The sequence below is a fragment of the Homo sapiens genome, chromosome 1 (assembly GCF_000001405.40).
Source record: "Homo sapiens chromosome 1, GRCh38.p14 Primary Assembly".
Classification (NCBI taxonomy): domain Eukaryota; kingdom Metazoa; phylum Chordata; class Mammalia; order Primates; family Hominidae; genus Homo; species Homo sapiens.
The window spans coordinates 30,004,481-30,013,593 of NC_000001.11; the positions used below are offsets into that span (position 1 = coordinate 30,004,481).

Sequence of the window (9,113 nt, forward strand, 5' to 3'; positions counted from 1 at the left end):
ATATGCCAGTGGGGGTTCATGTCTAACCAGATGCTCATTCAAACACCAAAGAGAATACCCACTCCCCGGGACCTGCAGACACACTCCTGCTGCACTAACCAGCACACATCCCTGTGTGCACTGATGAAAGACCTGCATTTGTGCACGGATGGGTGTGCCCTGTGTATACCAAGGATGCCCTCCCCTGTACACAGCTGACCCTGGTCCCTAGGCACTCTGGATCCTGCCTGGCACTGGGCTCTGGGGCGAGCCCATTTTCTGTACACCTGTAAAACCTCCATCTAGGAGTCCCATTCCAAGCTCAAGGGTGCTGTTGTGGAAATGCTAAGAAATGCATTCTTTCTGTCTCTTTCCTCAACAGTAAAGCTCTACAGACACTGGAGGGACTTCACAAGTTTTGCCTCTTCCTCTTGTTAATTTGATTTGCCCTTTGACGAAGACCCTAATACAGTGAGTGGAGTGCTGGCAAAAAAAAAAAAAAAAAAAGCCCTGATGTGCCAGTTTCTGTGGTGTAGATATTTCCACCATGGTCAATTTCAAGCTGTCAATGGTTTAACAACTGGCTCGGAAAATTTAATATTTGGCTCTCAGTTGGGTTTTGTGAACTCCAATGCATGCCCACTGCCCAGCCTGAGAAGTCAGCCTCACTCCAGCAGCAGAAAAAGACAAAAAACTGCAATTGTTTGGGCTTAATCAACTCCAAACACAGAAAGACAGTCATGAGGAAAGGAGGCCCAGGTTTGAGAGAATGTGAATTATATGCTCCTGGAGCTTTATTGCCCTCAGTTACTGGTCTTATTTGTGTTATCTTTATTCATTCTTGCAAATTAAATCAGCACTGTCTTTCCAATCTCATTCTCCCAGCAGAATTAAACCACAGCAGTAGAGTGAATTGGTCATAATGAAGGTGTTTAGCACACTTTTGGCCTCTGCTCCCCGCATCTTAAAGTTCCATAACCCTGAAAAATACCAGACAGGCACACCTCCTAGGGAAAGTGGTTTGGGGCATTGGGTGAGATGCTTGCCTCTTCCTTATCAAGAGGGGAGAGGGGTCTGCAATGCCAGATCCAGGGGTACTTCTCCAGCTACAGGAGCATTCTGTGCCTCATTTGTCCCAGCAATGAAAACCTGGTATCAGTATAAAAAACACAGGCCCCCAGGGGCTAGAATTTTAAATACGCACTGGCCTCAAACATGTTGCTAGGTGAACTCACAAACTGGCAGCAGGGAAGATGAAGAGCAAGAAGGAGAGTTTAGCTGGAGTGGCCTCTTTTTAAAGCTGGAATGATCTTTGAGGCATTTTACAGCCCTCTGATCTGGCAACCCTCCACTCCAGAGGTTGCCAAATCTGCCTGCCCACTCACCTGTGAGACAGGTTAAAATACAGATTCCTGGAGCACAGAATATAACTCTCCGGGACTGGCCTGGGTACCTTTATTTTCCACCAAGTCTCCTAATGGTGCTGATGCAGCTGGTCTACAAATATAGATTTAGAATCTGCTGCTTTGACCCAAAGCTTCTTGACTTGGGCCATCCAAGTCTTGTGGCAGACAAGACCCATGCTCTCCCCTATCAGGGTCTCCTCTCCTCTCCTTTCTGAGTGCATGAAAACTACACTTCCCAGTTTTCCCTGCAGGTAGGCAGGCCACGAACCACTTCCAGCCCGTCAGAAAGAGACATGTATTACTTCTGGGCCAAGGAAGGGAAAGGTCCCTGCAGGCCTCCTGGCTCTCTCTTCCCTGTTGTGGAAAAGTATGGAGGCTTTGTATTAAGGTGGGCAAGACACAACATTACAGCAGCCTGGATCCCTGGGTCACCCAGGACAGCAGCCTCTGAGTGTCACCTGACATACAGTAGAGTTTATCACAGAAGAAAGTAAACTGCAGGTGTTAAATTACTGAGATTCCAAGGTTGTTTGTTACCGCAGCATGAGCCTAGCCTAGGATCATTAGATCCCTATCCCTTTGAGAATCTGGTAATTCTGCCCAGGAAAGTGCTTAGATACCTGTAAACATTATTGCCTGGTGAGGTGTCAGAGCCCTGGCATCAGAAAGTGGGTGACTCACAGGTTGGTTAGAAGAATTTACCGACAACAGTATAGGTTTAAAAGGAACGTTTTCTGTTTTTGTTTTTTCCATGCAAATATATACAGCTGTATTTTCATGGCATCTGCTTACTTGATGACATTCTGACATTCTAGAATGACATTCTGACATTCTAGCAACATTCCTTGCATCTTTTAAAAAAAATATTATTTTATTTTAAGTTCCAGGATACATGTGCAGGATGTGCAGGTTTGTTACACAGGCAAACGTGTGCCATGGTGGTTTCCTGCACCTATCAAACCATCACCTAGGTATTAAGCCCTGCATGCATTAGCTATTTATCCTGATGCTCTCCCTCCCCCAGCCCTCACCCCCTAGACAAGCGCCAGTGTGGAAAGGAAAGTTCTATTAGAAAGAAAGAACAGTGCAGAAGAGTGCAGCAGGGCATCTCAGCAAGAGAGGACTGAGTGCACCCTGGTGGATTTTTCCTTAGGGGTATTTATGGACCTTAAATTGGGAGCTTAAGGGTAATCTGGACCATATTAGCCACATAGATCAGGATAAATGATTTCATTTGTAGACATTTTGGTCCCTTAATGTCAGCAAGGGTTGCACAATGAATTTTGACATGCATGCATTCAGAGATGTATAGAAATTTTAGTTACTTACGTATATTTTTAAAAGCCTGGTACCAGATGCCTGCTTTTCTCCCTGTTTTCTTTTTTTTTTTTTTGAGATGGAGACTTGCTCTGTTGCCAGGCTGGAGTGCAGTGGCACGATCTTGGCTCACTGAAACCTCCGCCTCCCAGGTTCAAGTGATTCTCCTGCCTCAGCCTCCCGAGTAGCTGGGACTACAGGTGCGCACCACCACGACCGGCTAATTTTTGTATTTTTAGTAGAGACAGGGTTTCACCATGTTGGCCAGGATGGTCTTGATCTCTTGACCACGTGATCTGCCCGACTCAGCCTCCCAAAGTGCTGGGATTACAGGTGTGAGCCACCTGGCCTGGCCCAGATACCTGCTTTATATAAGAGGGAAGTATAATTACTTCTGAATTCCTCAGATAAGGAGTTTTGCCTCTGGACAGTCTGCTTGATGGCCACCGGGTGATCTTTGCTTTCCTTGATTACATTTGGGGTTCCCTGGGTATCTGCTCTGGTCCCCTTGCCTCCCTAAAATCTAGGCACTATTGGCTTAAACCCTGCTGGTTTTACTCTCTTTTGGTCAGATTTATGGCAAAGGTGACATTTGCTCCCACCGTTGCTCCTCCTCCCAGCACTGCCTCACCTTCAGTGGTGGCCTCCGGAGCTCCGCCCCTGCAGAACACCCCTGCCCTCTGTGCCACCCTACCTGGGATGGGCATCAACTCACACACCAACAGAATGTGTAATCACTGTTACATTTATACAAGTGTAGGGGCTCAGGGGGTTTGGATGTCCCTAAAGCTCATTCACAGACCTTTTGGTGAAGAACTTCAGCTCCCGGGGGTCCATGGGGAAATTCTCCAGGACCTATGCCTGTCCAGTGCAGAACGCTGAGAAGATTTTGCAGTTAGAGACTGAGCCCAAATTTTGAAACCTCAGGCCTGATGAGGACAAGCCCTACCCCACCCAGTGGCACCGGCAGCTGAAGCTTGGGCCCCAGGTTCTAGTCACAGAGGGGTCCCACTGCCTCCTTGGCCTGCTTCCTGCTGACTGAGCAGCCAGTGGGAGACTCCCCTAAGGCCAGTGGTTATTACGCTACATCCCACGGGGCTGATGGAAACACAGATTGGCGTCATGGTCTCAGGCTCCCCCTGAGCAAACCTGTGTGCTCCCCTTTTATCACAAGTCGTCCCTATAAATAAACTCTTGCTTTCCAAATTCCCTCTTAGTGTCTGCTTCCCAGAGAACCTGGGCTGACAGGCATGAGGTGGCTGCTCCATAAAATGTTTATCTGAGCTTCAAAGTCATAACGATGCCTCCTGCACAAGGCTTATCTCCAGGGTTTCAGCTGCTGGAAAGCACCAACGCTATATAGACCTCCTACCTGAGTTTTTGCCTCCCCTGGAGCCTGGCAAAGGGGTGACTCCCTGAGTCACCAGAACCTAAATTCAAATGCTGGGTCTGCCTCTTGCCAGCTGCGTGAGCCGGCTGGCCTCTGCTGTGTGGTCCGTGTGTGTGTGTGTGTGTGTGTGTGAGACAGAGAGACAGAGAGAGTGTGTGTGTGTATGTGCACACCTGCCAGCCTTTGCCATGTGATCCACTTGTGTATGAGTGTGAGAGTGTATGTGTGTGTGTATGAGTGGGAGGCTGTGTGTGTGTGTGTGTCTGTGTGGGCAGGTGTATGTCCTTCTCTGGGTGTGCATGAAGCCTACCTCAGTGTCTCTTCTCTATTTCTCAATGAATCAATGAATCTCTCCCTCTCTTACTCGCTTGCTCCCCAATCCTATATTTTGCTGCTGGTACCAACATGGAAATCTGTGAGACTCAGATGGGGTCCTTGAGTTCCAAGGGAGGAGGAATCTGCTTTTGTGCAGGCAGGCAGCTGTCAGCTGGGCATCAGAAAGGAAGGAACATGTTGCAAATCCAGTGGCCGGGGGAGGGGGGCGGCCCTGAGTCACCTCATCTAGAGGCAGCAGGAAAAACACCGGACTTTGAGCCAGAGAATCAGAGGAGGAGCCTGCTTCTTCCACTTCCTGTGTGACCTTGGGCAAGTTACTGAACCTCTCTGACCTCAGTGTCCTCATAATTAAAATGGGGCTATTGTAAAGATTAAGCGAGTTCATTGTTATAGAACTGGAAGCCCAGTGCACAGCACAGTGGGTGCAATAAATAGATGGACGAGTCTGGACTCAAAGGCTGCCCCCGCGCAGATGCAGGCCCAGAGGAGGATGACAGACAGAGGAACTGCTAGAGGTCAAGGAAGGAGATGAGGATGCGTCCTGGAGATGGATGCAGAGGACAGGCTGTGGGGACACTGCACACTGTGGGGTTCTTTCTCTTTGGCCCAGCCTTGGGCCTCTCCCTCCCCTGACGTCATGCACTCACAGTTCTCCCCACAGAAGGGTCGCTCCCAGGGCTCCACGGAGGTAGAAAGCTCATGGCTCACTGACCCCACACAAGCAAGCTGTGAAGGATACTGCTGTTACGGGATCTTTGGGGTGTCACTTTTCCAGCCAGAAACCTCTGTGGCCGGTGGCACATTTGCCTGAGTTCTTGTCCTGCATCCAGGAAGAATGATGTAAGCAGAAAAGTGGAGGGTGAGCAAGATGAAAAGGAGCTTTATTGAGTGTTGGAACAGCTCAGAGAAGACCCACAGTGGGTAGCTCCTCTCTGTAGGCAGGTCTTCCCATCGAGTGTTCAGCTCTCAGCAGAGGAGGCCCTGGAGATGGTAGCTCCCCTCTGCAGCTGGTCATCCCATTGTCTCTCCATTCTCTGCCCTGCTCTGGCTGAGCCGGGGTTTTTATGCACCTCAGAGGGGAGGAAGTGTGTGCTGATTGGTCCATGGGCAGCCATGGGTGGGCCCAGAAAATGCACCACAAGTCCCCACTCAGGTCAGAAGTTCTGGCAGTCTGGCCTCCAGCCTTCAGGCCCTCTCTGGCCTGAAGGTGGGGCTTTACCAGGGACCTGCCGCCTTCCACCCAGGAATCTGTTTGCCTCCTGCTGCTGTTCGTGGCATCTAGGCTAGGCTCTGACTTTGCTCGAAGATGGAGCCAGTGCCAACAGCAGGGAGAAACAAGGCAGAAGGAGCAGGAACTTCAGAGCCTGCAAGGGCAGGGGGGCCTTCCTGGGCCCCCAAGAGTGCAGGGATGCCTAAGGCTGCAGCTACTGGTTTGGGCGGCCGCAGGTGTGCCTCGGGGGGCAGGACTCCTGCCTGCTCCGTGGAGCAGGAGGCCTCTATCTGCAGCCACTGTTTGGATGGCTGCAGCAGCACCCAGGAGGGCTGGGCTCCTGCCTGCTCCCAGCTCTCCAAGGGCACACAGAGGCCCAGGTCTACTAACCGAACTTAGGCGGCTACAGCCATTAGGGGTGGTGGGCAGGTGTCCAGGGCAGGGACAACATCACCAGGAGCTCCCCCATTGCCCTGGCACTCAGGGGTGGTCCAGGGCAGAGCAAATTGCAGCTGGGGCCTGGCCAGAGTGGTGGCTCAGTGGTCACACCGGCGTGGGGCAACCTTGGGGATACAGCCCCAGGCAGCCCTACAAACAGCCTCCTCCCAAGGCCCAGGAACCTGGCACCCTCGGCAGGGTAGGTGCAGTAGCCGTGCTGCTGGCCAGGTCCCTGAAGTGGGTGCCACTCCCACTTCCTGCCCCAGGCCCCTGAAGTCCAGTTCCAGCTCTGCATCGGGGGCCCTTTCTGCCTGACCATGCTGCTCACCTGCTGTGCTGCTGGCAAGTGACCCGGCCCGGTCCCGTCACAGTGGCCCCCGTCCGCCTCCTCCCCATGTCTTCCCTGCAGGGGCCAGCATGATAGCAGTGGCCGCACTAGATGGCCCACTGCTGCCAACACTGCTGTCACCCATTTTACAGACGAGGACACTGCAGTGCGGGAGGCGGCTTGGCTCTGCTCTTCACCACTTCCAGGCTCCTGGCCCCTCCCTCTGGTGTCTCTACCACAGTGAATCTGCCTCCCGCTTCTCCTTCCTTCCCTGTCAATATCATCATCATTATCATCATCATCATCATCTCCATCTCCTCCTCCTCCTCCTCCCCCTCCTTCTCCTTCTCCTGTCACTCTTGGTCTTTACTTTTCCACTTGGCCACCCTACATCCCGGCTTGGTGCCTCTGATCTCATGTCCAGAACTCCAGCCTCTGTCTGTTGTCCCCTCTGTCTCGGGCTTTCTCTGTCTCCCTCTGTCTCTGACTGTGTGTGGATGCAGATGTGTTTTTTATTATTATTTTATTAAATAGAGACAGGGTCTCTCTATGTTGCCCAGATCATCCTCAAACTCCTGGGTTCAAGTGATCCTCCTGCCTTGGCCTCTCAAACTGTGGGGATTACAGGCGTGAGCCTCTGTGCCTGACCAGGTGTGTGTGTTTCTGTCTAGCTCTGTCTGCATGTCTCTCTGTATGCATCTCTCTTTATTTTTGTCTCTTTCTCTCTCCCACCACACACACACACACACACACACACACACACACACACACACACACACACACACTCGTCTTCCCCACCCCTCTCCTGGCTCCTTCCTGCTGCCTGGGCACCTGGCTCTTCTCTAGTGGCTGCTTGGTGGCTGACTGGGCTCCAGGTGTCTATTTCACTCTTGCCCAGGTACAGAAGCAAAGCAGGAGCCCCCAGATGTGGGGGAGGGGCAGAGAGCCAGGATTCAGCAGGAAGGTCCCAGCCTGGACCTGAACCTTCGAGGGAAGGTTTGGTTTTCCAAATCCAGACATACCAAGCATTTCCTTTGTCTTTTTCTCTGGTTTCTTCCACTGGCCAGCACCTCCCTCTCTTCCTCTCTATCATCACCCCAAAGGGCACCCGGCCAGGCCTTTGGGATGCCTGTGGGGCAGGACTCCCTGGGTGCAGAGCTTTAAACAGGTGGGAGGAAAGAGGGAGGAGCGGAAGAGAGAACTTGAAGCAGGGAGGGCCTCTGCTCAGCCATGCTGAACTTATCTAGCCCTCTTGGGCCGCCCCCAGGCACCCTCTCCATGAAGACCTGGCAGACATGAGCCCAGGCCCGAGGTCTCCCCTACTCTGTGGCTCCTCTGGCATCTGGACGTGTTGCCTCACTGTGACCTTCAGCAAGATGGAGCAAGCACGTGTATCACACCATATTTTGTAGATGGAAAAATTAAACAGAGGAACAACTTGCCCAAGGTCACTCAGAAAGTAGGTGCAGAACCTGGACCTAGGACCCAGGTTCCCTTACTGAACTCTCTCCAGATTTCCCAGGGCCTAAGGTCCCCACAGCCCCCTTTACTCTCACCAAATCTTCATGTGCTGGCTTCTTTTCCACAGTCTACTCTCTGCTCAAGTGAAGCAGAGAGTAGAGTGTGTCTAGCCTCCTTCCTTCAAGAAGCCCTCCCTGACTACCCCAACTAAAGCAGCCTCCTCTCCCTGCCTGGCACTTACTAACATCCCATCCTGTTTTACTCTGGTCACAGCCCTTATCACATCTGAAATCAGCTTGAGCACTTACTTGGGCAACCCACTTCCTCTGAGCCTAAAATCTTCACTACTAAAGCAATGTCTATAGTGGCCCCACCTCACAGGATAGAGGAGAAGAGACAGCTCCATGGAGTGCCAAGCACCTGCCAGGGGCCCAGTGAGGGCTCAGAGACCGCTGGCTGCTGTGAAGGAAACAGCAGCCCCGTGTCCTGGGTGCTTGGGCCTGGGACACAATGGAGACAGAACCTGATTTGGGGGTACTGCCAGGAACATCTGTAAACAGCCATCCCACAAGGAGTGAAGCCTCGACTGAACAACAGCAAGAAGCAAAGGGCTGCAAACATAATCAGTGCAGCCCGGAGGGCAAGAACCTTGACCTCATTTGGTGACCAAGAAAACAGAGGCTTAGAGATGGGAGGTGATACATGTGGGGTTGCAAGATCATTCTGCTAGTAGGTGACAGAGTCCAGATGAGACCAGGCTGACCCAGCTCTGAAATCAGCTGTGTTTTTAAATTTTAAGACAATAATCCATGAAGGAAGTCGAGGAGGTCCCTGGGGCGTCAGCTGGGCAGGAGGAAGGAAGCCAGTTTTCCTCATATCACTTACTGAATGTGACAGTGACCACTGCTGGGCTTGATGCCCCTCCACAGGATGTATTGTAAGACAAAGAGTTGACGTCTGGCTTCTCTGCACTGGTGGAGCTGCCTCCAGTCTCCTGGAGGGCAACCAAACTCTGAAATGTTCTCTTACCCAGAAAGCCCTGTCCACTCTCTTTATTAAGACCATAAATCTCTGAGCTCCCCATCACTGACTGGGGTGCGGGGTGGTGAGGGAAGTGGCACCAGCAAGGCTTGCCAAGCCCCACAGTCTTAAACCTTGCAGCCTCTGAATATGTCACCTTTAATACCCCGTGCTGGCATTGGGGGCTCATTGACTTTCCTTCTCAGTCACCATCTTCAAGCTGCTCTA

At 51.8% G+C, this 9,113-nt stretch overlaps 1 annotated feature.

Moving 5' to 3' along the window:
• Window positions 4,108–4,608: an enhancer, noted in NCBI's record as "H3K27ac hESC enhancer chr1:30481435-30481935 (GRCh37/hg19 assembly coordinates)". NCBI's record gives its function as "activates a minimal SCP1, AML or CMV promoter by ChIP-STARR-seq in naive H9 embryonic stem cells {active_cell/tissue: H9 hESC(naive)}" and the evidence as "EXISTENCE:reporter gene assay evidence [ECO:0000049][PMID:30033119]".